The sequence below is a fragment of the Homo sapiens genome, chromosome 1 (assembly GCF_000001405.40).
Source record: "Homo sapiens chromosome 1, GRCh38.p14 Primary Assembly".
Classification (NCBI taxonomy): Eukaryota; Metazoa; Chordata; class Mammalia; order Primates; family Hominidae; genus Homo; species Homo sapiens.
Genome location: NC_000001.11, coordinates 120,900,336 through 120,917,303, shown reverse-complemented (window position 1 = coordinate 120,917,303; position 16,968 = coordinate 120,900,336). Strand labels below are relative to the sequence as shown.

Genomic DNA, 16,968 nt, shown 5'->3' with positions numbered 1-16,968 from the left:
AGGAGTCTGGGAATCAGGGGGATTATCAAGATCATTGTTAGAATAAATTAATCTTACTGTATATATAGCAGAAGTTTTCAAGCATATGTAAATGCTACTAATAACCAAATAATTACACCTTGTTTTTCTTTAAACTGTAACTCTCAAGTATGTCTCTACATAATTTTTTGATTGGTAGTGTCTGCATGCTCAAAAAGCTTGAAAACACTACTGGAGAAGAAGGTCTCGGGAGTGTGATGAAATACGTTTACATGGCAGCTTCATCATTTAATTGGTGAAAGTGACTATGTGTCTTAAACTCTCTGAGCCTCAGTTTGCACATCCAAAAGCAAGGATATAATTCCATGAACCTTTCCACCTCAAGTCCACAAGGCAGAATAGCAAGATGTTAACTGCCACTCTGAGGACCACCAAATAAAAGGACAATTTATTAGGCCACTTGCCAGCATGGACACAATCGACTCTTGGCATTTCTTATTATCCACAGAAAAATTAAAAGTATAAATATAGAACAAAATTATCGTGTTTTTTTTAATAGTAACATGTAAGATCAATCTTTGTCTTTAAAATACCGTGTATCTCATTCTCGGAAAGCGTCAAAATGAAAATGGTATAGTAAGTTTTATCTACAACTTGAATTAAAATTATTCTTGAAATATGTTCTGAATGGTTAGATGAAATGGTAATTAAATACAAATAGAGATAATCATATACTCTCTCTCCATAAGGCTCCCACCTCCTTCAATGAAGTCTAGTTCACCTAAAATGACACTATTAACATTAATTCAATATTATAAGTTGATAAGCACATTAAATCAAAACACAGCAAGATTATTTTAAGAGTCTGACTGAAATGTCAGGATGAGAAATAGATTAATAAATATTGGCTTCTAATGTCGGTAATGAAAACAAACACGTTATTTTCAGAAAATAAAAGGTCTTCGTCATTAGGTACAAATCATAAAGGGATTATCTACGGTTACTACACTGTAACAACTTTTTACATATTGTATTATAGAACAAGCTTTTGAGAAGACAAAGCAACACATCAGCAGTTTAACCAATTGTCTTTCTCTTTTAACAGGCTGGTCTACATTAGATTAGATATAAAAGGCCCAGGTATTACTTGTGTTCGATCTTAGCCACATGGCTGAGAAACATCCAGGTACATTTAAATCAGTGACAAAAGAAAACATTATCCCTTAGTAAAATTACATAAAATAGGAAACATCTCTTACTTTAAGAGCAACGATGGTACTTGTTCCTATGGTGAAAACTGATGTTATCTCGATTAGTTAATTATTCATCCCAACACCTGGTCTTGCTTCCTTTTCCACCTCTAGCTATGTTAACACTAGAGTTCAGTAATTTGTTGATAAAGAATCTTAACTGCAGTATCTAACAGATCTTAGTGATTAAGCATATGACTTACCCTTTGTACAGATAAGTAAACTGAGGCCAAAAGAACTGAGGTATCTTATTAAAAATCAGAGAGCTAGTTAGTTGAAAAGTCCACCTGTCCTTCCTTTCCACATGTCTCACCAGAAAAACAGCAATGGTGAAAAGTCAACTCTGTTTTTAATGGGCCACTTTGTATATTTTAACTGTTAAAATAATCCAAGAAGATAGTAGTCATATACGAAGATCCTTTAGATATAATGTGTAGGACCAGCATTAATTTAATCAACCAAGTCTCCTCTCATTGAATTGTTAATTCATAATTACAAAGATGACATTACAGTAAATTAAGAAATACTGTAATTTCATTCTCTCCAAAAAGTATACATTGAAGTTTGGTGAATACTGTTATATTTTCAACTAGTAAATCAGTGTGCCAATTCTGGGTCTTAGGCATATTGTATATACTGGAATGATATTCACTTTAATTAAATTTGTTTTGAGATGTAGAATGTAATACAGATCCTACGTGTTTTTAAAAGTTCACATCAATTTCAAGCTTTTAAAAATGTATGTACACAAGAAAGCTTCTTTTGCAATTTATATGTTTACAAATGTTGCCATTAGCTAAGCTATATTTTGGAATGTGATCAAACAATATTGAATGTCAAGTCTTAACAGCAGGGCTGGTCTAAGGAATTCCCTCTAAGCTAAATCTGATCCTTTCATATGTGGCTACTGCTCTTTTAAACTACTGTATCCCTAAAGGGCTAAAAGGAAGAAAATCCTAACTTAATAAGTGAAGGCAGCAAGGCATAGTATTTGAATGGCTACCTTTCATTTTAACTCTACTTCTTAAATTCACAATTGGATTTGGGTTTGTTTCAAGTTGTTCACAATTTACTAACGAAATGTGCATCTCTCATTCTTCCCCCAAAAGAAAGAAGTCATCCACTCCAGCTACATATAAGTCTCCAATTTCTGTCTTACAACTAAACGTGAAAACCGAAATACCACTCATTGAAAAAAAAAATATACAGAGAATTGGCAGGCTGCATGTTTATGTGAACCTTCAGAAAACATGGAAACACGCAGCCCCAACTCACCAGGAAAATCAACACTTGTGATCAAACTATTTTGTGACATTTTATGTCTTTTATACATTTCACTTCATATCCAGTATTCCAGTTTTGCACCGGCTTGCCTGTATCAACCCCAAATCGCCTGAGAGCAATCTAGTACTGTAGCAGAACCGTTTCAACATGAAGAGTTCTGCTCATCGCCTGTGGCGTGGTCTTCGAAACACCTGAATCAAACATTGATTCCCCTCCCCCTGCTATTTAAAACCGAGGGACGTCAGGCTTGGGTTGTAGGTAAAGAAAAGCCACAGTAATCAAACAAGCAACCAAAATACCCGAACACGGAACACGCTAAGAACAAAGGAAACACAAGAGTGTGAACAGGAAATGAAGCAACTCTACACCCATAAATACCTTCTGGGGCCGCCAACATAGGTAAAAGTAAAGGTGGAGTCTGAGTATCTGAAATCTGAAACAGAAAGTCCTGTCAAAAGCTACCCCTGGAGTGGATTTGTTTTAACCCCGATCAGGACTTGGGCGCTCCATTTGGTGGAGTCAGGGGAGGCCTGGCCGGGCGGGTGGCGAGGGCTAGAGGGCGGCGAGGTCTCTCCGCGCAGCGTCCCAGGGGATGCGGCGCGCCCCCGACTGGGTGCAGCGGCAGGCCGCCCCCGGCAGCAAGTGCCGGGTGCCATGGCAACGGCGGGAATTTCCCAGTCGGGGCGGCCGGAAGCAGCCCCAGCCGGGCTCGCGGCAGCGAAAGCAAAATCCGATCTCTCTCCCGGGGGAGCAAAATGGACGAAAGGCGACCCCCCAGGCAGGGGCGCTGGGTGCCTTGGGAATCCGAGGAATCCCTTCTCTTTGCCAGTCGGAGGGGACTAGATGGAGCCGAAGGGGCCGGAGATGGGCCGAGCGCTGCCCCCCGGGGGTCCTCGGCGCCGGACGCAGCTTACGAGCGCAACGCAGCAGGCTCCATTCCCGGCCGCCGCCGCTCAGCCCATTACGCAAACCTGGCGGGTCCAACCAACCCCGCTCTGCCGCCGCTGCTGGAACCCATGAGGCGTGCTTGCAGGCTTCGGGCACTACGCGGGGCTGGAAATACCACGCACTGCCCCTTCGCCTAGACCCCCGCTCGGGCCACGCGGGTTCTGCCCTCAAAGCTGGTAGCTGCCCCAGACTTGGGGGTGGGGGGAGGGGAAGGGGCGAGGCTGGCGCCCCCTCCCGCTTTTGGCTCCCGCGTTCGTTGCAGCAGCTGTTGCCAAATGAACCCCGGAATGCGGACGTGCAAACCCTCCACCCCACCCCCAGCCACACACGTCGCGGTCAGAGAACTGGGAAGGGGGCGCTGGGTCCGAGGTTCTGGAAAAGCAAGAACTCACCTGCAAACAGGCAGTCCTCAGCTCTGGACTTCTGGATCACGACGTCGATATCCTTCTGAATTCGGTCTTGCCTTGAACACATCCCCATTAAATAAATCCTTGGAAAAGAAGCAGCCGCTATTTCCACCCCACCCCCCTCGCACGCTTTCAGCTTTCGTAAATATTCAGTTAAAAATGAAACCTCTGGCCGAGGCAGGGGCTGAAGGCCAAGTGGTTTCGGAAGTGATCCTGGGTGAGAGGAGGAGGAGGAGGAGGAGGAGGAGGTGGAGGAGGAGGGGGAGGTCGGCTTTCCATTTCCAGATGTGACCGCCCAGCTGCTGCTCGCCGCTGCTGGATTCCAATTTCCTCCCCTTCTGGCGATGGATTGGTGATGAAACCGAGTCTCACTTTCTCCTTCCCCCGCCCGGACCAACCGCCGTGGGGGGCCGAGGGTGCCGGGGACGGCCGGAGAGCGATCACCGGCTGGGCGGCGGGAGCCGACGAGGGGCGAGCCCCGCTCCGGCTCAAGCGCGCACACCCCTCACGGCCCGCACTCCGGCCTTCCACACCCGTGCACACTCTCGCCCGCGGGCGGCGGCAGCCGTGCCCAGGCTGCTGCAGCGCCACCCGCCCGCCGCGGACCCTCCGCGCCCTCCGCCTAGTCACCCGGCCCGGCCGCGGGCCGCCGGGGCTCGCAGAGTGTCAGCCATCCCGGGCAGGAGTCGCGTCTCCCCACCCCGACCTCCACTCGCGCCGGGAGCTGAGCGGCAGTGTAGGTAGTGAAGACTCCCTGGGGCTCCCAGCCTTCCCTCTCCGCGCTCTCCCCCCATCACTTTTATGAATTCGACTCCACTTTCTAAAGGAATTATGAGTCTTGTGGCAAACACAAACCGGAGTGGCCGGGAGGGGGAAAAGGAGGGAAAAGAAAATCTTTAAAAATTAAAAAAATAATAAAACGAACAAATCTTTACTTGTTGCCACCTCAGATAACACGGAAAAAGCCTTGAAATTACTCCAGATGTGCACCCTCCCCTTCCCTCAGTGCCTGAGTCTTTTTCCTCCAGATCGAAGTATTTCAGCCCTTTTGGGGCGCCGTTTGCGAAACACAGCCCCTTTTGAGGGACTTCCTCCTCTTGAAAAGACTCACCAGTTCTCCCTTCCTAGGTGTTTCTGTTCATGAGAAATTGTCAGAATCAACTGGCACGTTCCAGGGTCTTCCTAAAGGATGGAAACCTGTTTGGCTTGCTTTTTAAAACCACCTCCTTTGACAGTCAGTCCAGGGAAAGCTACAATCCAGGTGTTCAGAAATGAGATACTGCTCTGATTCTCACTTTCTGTTCTGCCTAAGGACACCTCAGGGTGACGTAGCTGCCCCACCTCTATATTGGTTTATGCCCTAGGAGAGGTCTCCAGCAGGCACTTTTCTTATTGATCTTTTCTCCGCTGAGAAGGCTCCCACCAGTAGACCATGACTCGTTTTGCTTTGCATTCTCAGTGCCACGTACAGTGCCTGGAATACAGGAGGGTGGCCTAAATGTTGGCTGAATGCATGAATGGTCATTTCTTGCAGCCTCTTTTCATTACCCTGTCTCATCAGCTTTCTTATCAGAATAAGTGCCCAAGAGTGCCAAACTGTTTCAGACCCTTAATCAATTTAGTTCTGATTCTGACCGTGACAACATGATGTTCAGCACGGTAGGAATGACTGCCATCTCTGAAGGAGTCTTAAGATTCTGTAGAATCAATGAAAGATTCTATGTTCTAACGCCTTTATCTTTCAGGAAAGAAATTACAAAATAGTTTCATTGTCCAGTCATATTCACTATGAGTTATAAGAGGAAACATTCTATCTAGAACTAGAAATACCATTTGACCCAGCCATCCCATTACTGGGTAGGTACCCAAAGGACTATAAATCATGCTGCTATAAAGACACATGCACACGTATGTTTATTGCGGCACTATTCACAATAGCAAAGACTTGGAACCAACCCAAATGTCCAACAATGATAGACTGGATTAAGAAAATGTGGCACATATACCCCATGGAATACTATGCAGCCATAAAAAATGATGAGTTCATGTCCTTTGTAGGGACATGGATGAAATTGGAAATCATCATTCTCAGTAAACTATCGCAAGAACAAAAAACCAAACACCGCATATTCTCACTTATAGGTGGGAATTGAACAATGAGAACACATGGACACAGGAAGGGGAACATCACACTCTGGAGACTGTTGTGGGTTGGGGGGAGGGGGGAAGGATATCACTGGGAGATATACCTAATGCTAGATGACGAGTTAGTGGGTGCAGCGCACCAGCATGGCACATGTATACATATGTAACTAACCTGCACAATGTGCACATGTACCCTAAAACTTAAAGTATAATAATAATAAATTTTAAAAAGAACAAAACATCACATTGTACGACATAAAAAAAAAAAAGTTGGATTTTGCAAGGAAGATAGACATCTGACTAAAGTTTGGCCAAGCAAGGAATCTTTGTTAGTACTACTTCTTGTTTAAGGAAAGAAGAGACATTCATCTTTCCTTCAAACAGTATAAGTCTCTTTTCTTGTTTGATCACCTTTTATTCATTAAGGACCAGTTGAATCATCTGTTGGGACTTGGTAGCAGAGGATATTTCCTGGATAGTGTGAGCTATCAGGCCTTTAATGTGGGAAGTTTAGTTTCTATAAAAATAAAATTAAAAAAGATTAATAGTTGGAACGAACTATAAAGACAGTTTCTGAGCCCAGAGGGCAGCTGATCAATAAGATTTCTAGATGCTGGGCTTTTAATATCTTCAGCTGGAGTGAGAAGAGGCATTGGATTAGTTTGCAGTTTGAATGCCATAAAGATGGGCCACACACAAGCTGTTGTGGTAATTTTTCTGAAGCTTATGTCAAGTCATCCAGTTTCAGTTTGAAGGACTTCAAGAAAAGAAAAGTTTATAATTTTAGTGATTCCAAGCCAGAATAGCAGGAAAAAAATGAAATATTAATTTGGAGTATTGTAGCTAAATATTGTAGTAAACTAGAAAAATTGAGGATCTATTGCAGATTGCAGGCAGATAATAAAACCTCAGAAAAAAAAAAAAAAACAGCTAGAATCTAATATTGGGTGCACTGCAGTTTTCTCCCGAAACATAACTTTTCTCTCTATATTCACTCTCATTTCTGTCAAAGATAATCAAAGTCAGATTGATTTGTTTGCTAAATAAGTTTAATCTCATTAAACTTGTACTGTTTATGTACACAAGTGCAGTTAAGAGTAGTGATTGACCATTTAGGCTCTTTTAAAGGTTGCGTTTGTCAGATAAGAAATCTCAGATTAAACTTTTTGTTTTTGTTTTTTTAGACAGAGTCTCCCTCTGTCACTCAGGCTGGAGTGCAGTGGTGCGATCTTGGCTCACTGCAACCTCCGCCTCCTGGGTTCAAGCGATTCTTCTGCTCAGCCTCCCGAGTAGCTGGGATTATAGGTGCGTGCCACTATGCCTGGCTCATTTTTTGTATTTTTAGTAGAGACAGGGCTTTCACCATATTGGTCAGGCTGGTCTTGAACTCCTGACCTTGTCATCCACCTGACTTGGCCTCCCAAAGTGCTGGGATTACAGGCGTGAGCCACTGTCTCCAGTCAGATTAAACTTTTAAAAGCCACTTGAGGCTGGGATACAAGCCCAAAACTTGTCATTAGTCTGCACCTGTTACATTTATAGATTCAGATAAATTTCTCTCTTCTTGAGGTCCCTAAAATATCCCAAGGTTTCCACACCTGCCAAACAGTGACATTCTTTATTTACCTGTAAGTCTGGGAACCCTAGAGCCAGTTTTTCCAAGATGGTACTTTATTGGTTCCATAAAGCCAACCTTAGTCCCCTAAAGCCTTCTGGTCATATCTGAAAACATGATGTTTCAGTCAAAGCCTTGGTGATATAACCTGTGTTTCCAGTTTGTCCTGTTACAAAGACAACAGATTCTTATTAAACTTATGCAAATAAATACTTTGCCATAAAAATAAGAATATGCACAAATAGTTTCCAAATTCTGGAGGGATAAGTTAGGGAGAAAAAGTAAATGTTTCCATTTTGCACAAAAGTATTCTTTACTGAATTGGTGTAAGCTAGAGATAGCTTAAAAAAAAGTTTTCTGAAATCTGGAAAACAAAACATTTAAAGAACTAGCAATGTTTCCAACAAAAAGTCATTTTAAAAATTATTCTCATCAGTTCATTCAGTACCACGTAATTAAATCTTGTTTTGCTTGATCTTGGGTTAGTAGTTACATGAACCCGTCAGTTTTATTAGAGTTCTGGAAATTCTTACCAGTCCAATTGTATGATGTTAAAGTTGTTCAGAAACCTGTATTCCAGAATACTCATAAGAGTATTTTCCATAAATCTCCTTGAAGAAGAAGCCATTTTGGACTGTAGCTAATTTCAAATGCTTTTAGAGAACAAGTAAATTAAAACAATGACTGTCTACAGATGACAAGGACTTAAAATGTCCATGGTTAAAAAATCTAATGAGAGTTCATTACAATGATGCAATTTATAAGAAAATTTGGTTAGCATGGCATACAGCATTTTAACATAATAACCAAAATTATGACTGATAACATACTAGATTTCTAGGAATCTCATACAACTTTTGTACACTTATCCCAATAATATATCCATAAATATAACTTAAAGATGGCTTAGCATCACTTTTTATTTGAATGCTACACATATAATTTAGCATATTAAATAAATCTAATTGGTTTAATCTCTCTTTCATACAAAAAGAAATATTCTTTGTGGCTTTCTGAGGGTCCAATATGGAGAATCCTAAGTTAATTTGAGGTCAAAAAGACTTAACTTAGAATGTGATTTTGGGAAGATTGTCAAAAATGTCAAAAAGTTTAAAACATTTAAAACAAATATTACCATAGTTATCTATTTAATAAAAGCTCCATTAAAAGATTTTAAAGGCAAATTCAGATTACATAGTTGTGAACAAGAACTTAGCTCCTTTAATATTGAGAAGACTCACTTTTCTTAAGTAACCAAAACCTAATAAAACAACATGAAACTCAAGAAATTATCTTGATGAAACAGTCTCTGTTTCTGAGGCCAATTACTTAAAAGGAAAAAAATACCCTTTACATTCTCAGACCAACATTCCAAGAAAACTTTACCATTTTAACGGAGAAGATCAAATTCTACTTTTGAATCAATGTATTACTAAAACTAAGTTTTAATAAAACCTTATAAATAAATCTATCCAATCTCAGTCAGCTTAGACCATACAAGATAAGATTTTCACAATCCTTCTAGATATGTTTTCTTATTTACATTTGCAACAGACATACACCAGACAATTAAGCAATTTACTTTTACTACATATCCTATTCTTAGGTTGAATTTATGGTTTTATGGCCTTAAACATCTAACAGTAACAACACAAACTTGTCTAATCAGCAAAGCCAGGTAAAATAAGTGTATGCTGACAGTTCTGAAAATGTTTCTATTTTTATTTTACCAATATTTTTTAAACTAGTTTTTATTTACTAAGGAATATCCCAGATTATGTGAACCTAAAAAAAATTGGGTCAGTTTCTACTTTTCTGAAAATTTTATACATTCTTATTTGTTTGAGTGCTCATTTATCCCTAGCCAATTTGGGTATTTTAGTTTGGTAATAACGTTGGAGGTAGAAAAATATCACATATACATAACATAATAACATAGATACACACATGTACACATACACAAACATATAGACTGATGTAACCAGATCTTATGACTTTTCATTTAAAAAATTTTAACCAGGCCAGGTGCAGTGGCTCATGCCTGTAATCCCAGCACTTTGGGAGGCTGAGGCGGGTGGATCACCTGAGGTCAGGAGTTCGAGACCAGCCTGGCCAACATGGCATAACCCCGTCTCTACTAAAAATACAAAAATTAGCTGGGCGTGGGGCATCGTGGCGCCCGGCTGAGGCACAAGAAGCACTTGAACCCAGGAGGTGGAGGTTGCAGTGAGCCGAGATTGCCCCGCTGCACTCCAGCCTGAGCAATGAAGTGAGACTCTGTCTCAAAAAAAAAAAAAAAAAAAAGTTTTTAACCATGAGGCAGTAAAACAGAGTAATACAAAAATACAAACTCACTGGTTTATCTCCACTTTATATTGTTATCCAAATTGTGTTTCTGGTGAGAAAGGGATAAGTTGAGTTGACCTACATAACAAAGGCTAAATCTTTTTACCAATATTTGTGGAGGAGGTTTTTTAAGATTTTTTTTTTTTTTACTTTATCAGTTTCCAAATAGTTTCTTTTTTTCTCCTATTATCAGCCCCAGGTGCTTGTTTTTGAGGGGCCTCTGAGTCCCTTGAGAGCCCCCTCAAAGGAGGGTAGGATAGGGGTCCTGAAGTTCAGCAGAAAAGAAACGGGTCTGGCAAGAGTGGACAGAGAAATAGTCAGCAGAGACTTGAGAAGAGGGGTTTCAGGTGACAGAGCTCCCATGGGAGAAGCAGGATCCAATAGAGAGAAGAGAAAGAGCAGAGTGGTTTTATAGAGAGCCAGGAAGAACAATTTGTAGCTCAGGGAATCAGGGAGTAACCCCTCACTCAGAAAAAGAGAGCCAGAAAGAAGAGACTTCTAGTCTAGGGACTCAGAGAATAGATCACTCAGAACAAGAAGCCCACAGGAAGACCTTCCTGCCCAGAGGATTCCTTTCAAAAGAAGCCTGGGACTCTACCCCAGCTTCAGAGAGAATATTCATCCCTTAAGATTCAAAATCTGTCCATAGCCATCAACGGGCTTTTGTGTGGAGCAATGGCTCAGAAATCTGATTCACCAATGGATCCCTAATCAGTCAGAAATGACAACAAAGACTTCAAAGGCATGCATTTAGGGTCCTGAGTGAGAGGCCCAGGATCCAGTGATGAATCTGTTTCAACACCATAATTGTTAAAGAAAAAATTATTCAGTGATACTTCAAATGCACAGTAAAGAAGACTTTATTCAGGACCATTACCATAGATATAGGAACCACTGCAACACAGTCTTGGAGCTGGGGAGAGAGATGGGCTTAACTCTGAATACAGCACGGGGAAGTGGGAATTTATAGCCCAGGAGCAATGCAGGGGTCAGTGAATGGAAAATCACTAAGAGGAAACATCAGGAGTAAGGGAGATTCTGGCTAAACCGCCCTAAAAGAATTCTTGCTGAAGACTGGCCAGGGTGATCAGACATCACCTGCAGAATGGTGAAGAATGAAGAACCTGATCAGATATTGAGAATGAGGGGGTCTTTGGTAAACTTGGCAGTGTTCTTTGCTAATGCTGGATTTTGTGAGGAAGTGCACAGTTTAGCCTAGCTGAAGATTTAGAAGCCTGACTAAAGTTGGCCAAGCAAAGAATCTTTGTTATCAACATATTCCATCAAACCTCACATCCCTGCCTTAAATGATCAAACCATCCGCACTCCTGTATGCTACTGTTCTCCATGAAAAGTTACTTCTTCTTTGTCTTAACCAAAATCCAGCCATTCTAGAAAGACACCAGAAGGCTTTCTGCAGCATCTAAAATTTCCCCACATTCTAGGCCCAAATCCTTTTCCTTTCCCTGTTGCTTTTAGATCCACATTGTGTAACCCTCATCTAGAAACCTCAGTTTCTTGGAGTCATTTTTTTTTTTTGGGACGGAGTTTCCGCTCTTGTTGCCCAGGCTGGAGTGCAGTGGCACGATCTCAGTTCACTGCAACCTCCGTCTCCCAGGTTCAAGCGATTCTCCTGCCTCTGCCCCTTGAGTAGCTGGGATTACAGGTGCCTGCCACCATGCCTGGCTAATTTTTTGTATTTTTAGTAGAGACAGGGTTTCATCCTTTTGGCCAGGCTGGTCCCGAACTCCTGATCTCAGAAGATCCACCTGCCTCAGCCTCCCAAAGTGCTGGGATTATAGGCATGAGCCACTGAGCCAGGCCATTCTGTCTTTTTATATAATATAACTTGTACTTTTATGTAGTAAGTTATCACAATGGTGTCAGACACTCTGAGGAAGAGTATTTTACTGTATCATTCCCATTACCCAATCAGGAAGTCTTAACAGGCAGATTTTAACAAAAATATAAGACACAACTGTGCCTAGCTTTTCTCACATACTTCCTACCTCACACTTCACACATTTCTTTTTCTCAGCACCCACTCTTAAGTAATAATTTATTTCCCCTGAATATTATTTACCTTCTGTGGGCTACCTTACATATCATCTGAAAGCATGATCAAAACAGTTATATTTGTGAATAATTTTATTTTGGTTTATTTCTTAGCAGAAGGAGGAGTTAATAGTAACATTTGTAGGCCGGGCACAGTGGCTCAAGCCTGTAATCCCAACACTTTGGGAGGCCGAGGCTTGCGGATCATGAGGTCAGGAGATCGAGACCATCCTGGATAACACGGTGAAACTCTGTCTCTACTAAAATACAAAAAAATTAGCCGGGCATGGTGGCGGGCACCTGTAGTCCCAGCTACTCGGGAGGCTGAGGGAAGAGAATGGCGTGAACCCAGGAGGTGGAGCTTGCAGTGAGCCGAGATCGCGCCACTGGACTCCAGCCTGGGAGACAGAGCGAGACTCCATCTCAAAAAAAAAAAAAAAAAAAAGTAACATTTGTAATCTCCCAGAGAATGCCAAGGAAAACATTCTCCTGGCTGAATTTATGTAGAGTTCATCATCTAAGCATAAAATATTTTATAAAGGAATGGGCCAATCAAATAACTGCTATGCGGTTGACACTGTAAACCAAGTTAGCTTAGTACCACTCTAAATAGTTGCTGGGAATATAATGATTTTCAAAGACATGATCTCTAGAAATAAATAACTAAAAGAGAAGCACGGTGTCATGCATTTATGCATACACATAAGCAGGGACTAGAGATCAAGAATAGAAATAAAAGAGGTTTTTACACTTGGGGTGCTAAGGTCGCAATGATTTATTTGGAGAGAAAACAGAAGCCCTTCTTTAGTAAATGCAAAGCACCATGTGTTTAATGAAGATACATGACCTAAGCTTTGAAGATCGTTTAACTAATTCAATAACCTTACCAAGTATCCATTACTACATCTCAACAATCAAATTTACAGTGACATCTTTGAGTTAAATATCTCCATAGATGTCTGGAAACAGCTTAATTCTGTTAACTGCTGCCCATTGAATTATGCTTAATTTGGTTGTAGAATTTCATGTCATCTGTTATTCTCCCTCACAACTTGGGAGACGTTATTCCTGTATTGTCTGTTCTCGTTGATGAAGAGAAGTCTGTGATAAAGTAATTGTCCTTCCTTTGTAGGTAATCTGCCTTCCATCTCTGGTTGATTTGAAAATATTGTATTAGTCTTTAGTATCTTGCATTTTACTGTGGTATGTCTACATATGGATTTATACTTACTGAGTTTGCTCAGAGCTTGGAGTATTTCCTCAGTCTTAAAGGCCCTAGTTGTGAAAATGTTACTACAGAAAAACTTTATTTTTTTAACTTAAAATCCTTTTTATTGGGAAATAAATGTAAGATTATAGATAAGTTTGAAAATAAAAGAATTGTTAGAACAAAAAATACTCATATGCCTGTTACCCTAATTTGTCTATTATTATTTTATTAAATTTAGGTTACCATTTGTTCTCTCTCTCTCTCTCTCAATATATATCCCAATTTTCAGTCTTTAGTTCTAAATCTTTCAGCAACCTGGACTATCATGGCCCCAGTGTAATGCTTGGCTTTGTACCTCATGAGGGAAGACATTTTTTTTTTAATCTTAAGTTCTAGGTTACGTGTGCACCACATGCAGGTTTGTTACATAGGTATACATGTGCCATGTTGGTTTGCTGTACCCATCAACTTGTCATTTACATTAGGTATTTCTCCTAATGCTATCTGTCCCCCAGCCCCCCACCCCCTGACAAGCCCCAGTGTGTGATGTTCCCCACTCTGTGTCCATGCATTCTCATTGTTCAACTCCCATCTGTGAGTGAGAACATGCAGTGTTTGGTTTTCTGTCCTTGAGATAGTTTGCTGAGAATGATGGTTTCCAGCTTCATCCATGTCCTTGCAAAGGAAGTGAACTTATCCTTTTTTATGGCTTCATAGTATTCCATGGCACATATGTGCCACATTTTTTTAATCCAGTCTATCATTGATGGACATTTGGGTTGGTTCCAAGTCTTTGCTATTGTGAATAGCACCACAATTAACATATGTGTGCATGTATACATCTTTATAGTAGCATGATTTATAATCCTTCGGGTATATACCCTGTAATGGGATCGCTGGGTCAAATGGTATTTCTAGTTCTAGATCCTTGAGGAATCACCACACTGCTTTCCACAATGGTTGAACTAATTTACGCTCCCACCAGCAGTGTAAAAGCATTCCTATTTCTCCACGTCCTCTCCAGTATCTGTTGTTTCCTGACTTTTTAATGATCATCATTCTAACTGGCATGCGATGGTATCTCATTGTGGTTTTGATTTGCATTTCTCTGATGACCAGCGATGATGAGCATTTTTTATGTGTCTGTTGGCTGCATAAATGTCTTCTTTTGAGAAGTGTCTGTTCATATTATTTGCCCACTTTTTGATGGGGTTGTTTTTTTCTTGTAAATTTGTTGAAGTTCTCTGTAGATTCTGGATATTAGCCCTTTGTTAGACGGGTATATTGCAAAACTTTTCTCCTATTTTTTAGATTGCCTGTTCACTCTGATGAGAGTTTCTTTTGCTGTGCAGAAGCTCTTTAGTTTAATTAGATCGCATTTGTCTATTTTAGCTTTTGTTGCCATTGCTTTTGGTGTTCTAGTCATGAAGTCTTTGCCCATGCCTATGTCTTGAATGGTATTGCCTAGGTTTTCTTCTAGGGTTTTTTATGGTGTTAGGTCTTACATTTAAGTCTTTAATCCATCTTGAGTTGATTTTTGTATATGGTGTAAGGAAGGGATCCAGTTTCAGCTTTCTACATATGGCTAGCCAGTTTTCCCAGCACCATTTATTAAATAGGGGATCCTTTGAGGGAAGAAAATTATTTCTAATATTTTAATCCAGCTATGTATGTAAAAAGAAGTCTTTTTCATATTTTATCTGTTATTTCTGTATGATTGGAGTATGAGTCAAAACATCTCAATATAAATAAAAAGTTACATTTCAGTAATTTTTTTTTCTAAAATTACAAAACACTAGTGGTCAAAAACACTACTATTTCCAATTCTCTTTCCTTTGTTAACATTACTTTTTGTACTTATGAGAGAAGAGTTTGCAATCCAAAAAGAGCAGGAAGGAAGAGAGATTAGAGATTTTTTCTCCTGCTTGCTCTATACATATGAGATATTTATATATCTATATATCAACAGTTGACCTTTGAATAACACTGGTTTAAACTGTGTGAGTCCACTTATAGGTGGATTTTTTCAGCCAAATACAGATTGAAAATACAGTATTTGTGGGAAGTGAAACCCACATATGTGGAGGGCCAACTTTTCATATGCAAGCTCTGCAAGGTTGACTGTAGGACCTGAGTATGTGCAGACTTCGGTATATGCAGGGCTCCTGAATCCAATACCCCACTAATACTGAGGGATGACTGTATATGTCTCTATCTATCTACTCTATCATATATATATATACACACACACACACACACAAATATGTGTGTATATATATATGTATGTGTGTATATATATATGTGTATATATATATATACTTCCTATATTACTTTGCTAGGGTTGTTATAACAATTACTGCAGACTGGATGAGTTAAACAAGAGAAATTTATTTTCTCACAGTTCTGGAGGCTAGAAGTGTGAGGTCAAGGCATCAGATGTGTTAATTTTATTCTGAAATTTCTCTCCTTGCCTTTTAGATAGTCATTTTCTCATCTTGTCTTCTCATGGACTTTTTTCTGTGCACATGTTTGTCTGTACCTAAATTTCCTCTTCAAATAAGGACACCAGTGATATTGGATTAGGACCCAGACATGTGACCTCATTTTACATTAGTTACCTCTTAAAAGTCTCTATCTCCAAATATAGTCACCTTCTGATATACTGGGATGGCAGGGGGCAGGGTACAGCATATTAATTTGGGGAAAGGCCACAATTCAGCCTATAACATATGCAATATATTCTTCTCTGATCTATACTATATAACTTTTATATATAATACATATATAATTTAATATACATTTTAACCCCTTGATTAATTTTGTCACTGCAGAGAAAACAAGAATTAAAGAAAAGCTTCAGGTGATACTGTTTTTGAATGAGTAAGAATTGAGCCTGCCCTTAACACAAGAATGAAGTAGAAATAAACTGACTTAGGGAACAGCATAAAAAAGTTCTCTTATGAGTCAAGATTTCAATGTGATGTCATCATTTTTTCCAGGGATTAAATATTAGAATATATTGCATGCCCATATTGAGGTGGAATCATAAACTTATTTCAGACTTATTATAATGGCTCATTTTCTTATGCCTTCACCATTGAACTTGTACTTAGCTGGGGATTGAGCTGAAAGTTTGCCTTTTCTGTATCTAGCATAGTTGCACCAAATCTGACCTTAATCCCAAATTTTCCTTTCTGTAATATCTTGTTTCCAAATGAGGCTCACATTGAATTTTCTCTTGTTAGAAATATAACTGGCAAGACCAATCAAAACCATTCATTCCATTCAGTTGCCTGTGAACAAGCTTGATTTGCTTTGTTATTAATACAGATTCTTGTGGGTTAAGTAGAAAGCTCTTTTGTAAATATCCCTCAGTTTAAGTATATATAGTTTACATTTCCAGGTAAACTGTAAATTCTCTGAGAAAGGCCCAGCATGGTGGTTCAAGCCTATAATCCCAGCTCTTTGGGAGTCTGAGATGGGTGGATCACTGGAGGTCAGGAGTTTGAGACCAGCCTGGCCAATGTGGTGAAACCCCATCTCTACCAAAAATACAAAAATTAGCCAGGCATGGTGGTGCACGCCTGTAATCTCAGCTACTCAGGAGGCCAAGGCAAGTGATTAAACCCAGGAGGTGGAGGTTGCAGTGAGCTGAGATCGCACCACTGCACTCCAACCTGGGTGACAAGCTGGACTCTGTCTCAAAAAAAAAAAAAAAAAATTCTGTGA

General features: G+C 40.2%; 3 long non-coding RNA genes across 6 annotated transcripts in view, besides 3 other annotated features; 1 reads left to right on the top strand and 2 right to left on the bottom strand.

Annotated features, from left to right (window-relative positions):
* Positions 1 to 5,066, bottom strand: part of LINC00623 (long intergenic non-protein coding RNA 623) — a 43,574-nt gene extending 38,508 nt beyond the window's left edge. For 3 of the 4 annotated variants that reach the window (NR_024510.2, NR_024511.2, NR_109754.2), the window contains exon 1: positions 3,854 to 4,087. This is a non-coding gene — a long non-coding RNA (long intergenic non-protein coding RNA 623). Of the gene's footprint in view, positions 1 to 3,853; positions 4,088 to 4,979 lie in introns of those variants that run through there. The other variant, NR_024584.2, reaches the window with a different exon arrangement.
* Positions 2,239 to 2,776: an enhancer, noted in NCBI's record as "OCT4-NANOG-H3K27ac-H3K4me1 hESC enhancer chr1:149577778-149578315 (GRCh37/hg19 assembly coordinates)". NCBI's record gives its function as "activates a minimal SCP1, AML or CMV promoter by ChIP-STARR-seq in naive H9 embryonic stem cells {active_cell/tissue: H9 hESC(naive)}" and the evidence as "EXISTENCE:reporter gene assay evidence [ECO:0000049][PMID:30033119]".
* Positions 2,777 to 3,315: an enhancer, noted in NCBI's record as "OCT4-NANOG-H3K27ac-H3K4me1 hESC enhancer chr1:149577239-149577777 (GRCh37/hg19 assembly coordinates)". NCBI's record gives its function as "activates a minimal SCP1, AML or CMV promoter by ChIP-STARR-seq in naive H9 embryonic stem cells {active_cell/tissue: H9 hESC(naive)}" and the evidence as "EXISTENCE:reporter gene assay evidence [ECO:0000049][PMID:30033119]".
* Positions 3,023 to 3,152: a silencer, noted in NCBI's record as "silent region_1252". NCBI's record gives its function as "represses an Ori minimal core promoter by ATAC-STARR-seq in GM12878 lymphoblastoid cells {active_cell/tissue: GM12878}" and the evidence as "EXISTENCE:reporter gene assay evidence [ECO:0000049][PMID:35858748]".
* On the top strand, positions 3,190 to 3,963 carry LOC100996720 (uncharacterized). Its single transcript, NR_160510.1, has one exon. It is a non-coding gene; the product is annotated as an uncharacterized LOC100996720 (long non-coding RNA).
* Positions 5,067 to 5,255: 189 nt separating the features above from the next.
* Positions 5,256 to 16,968, bottom strand: part of LOC124904393 (uncharacterized) — a 38,233-nt gene continuing 26,520 nt past the window's right edge. The window contains exons 2-3 of the long non-coding RNA XR_007066511.1: positions 7,640 to 7,794; positions 5,256 to 5,342 (exon numbers count right to left, since the gene is read on the bottom strand). This is a non-coding gene — a long non-coding RNA (uncharacterized LOC124904393). The remainder of the gene's footprint in view (positions 5,343 to 7,639; positions 7,795 to 16,968) is intronic.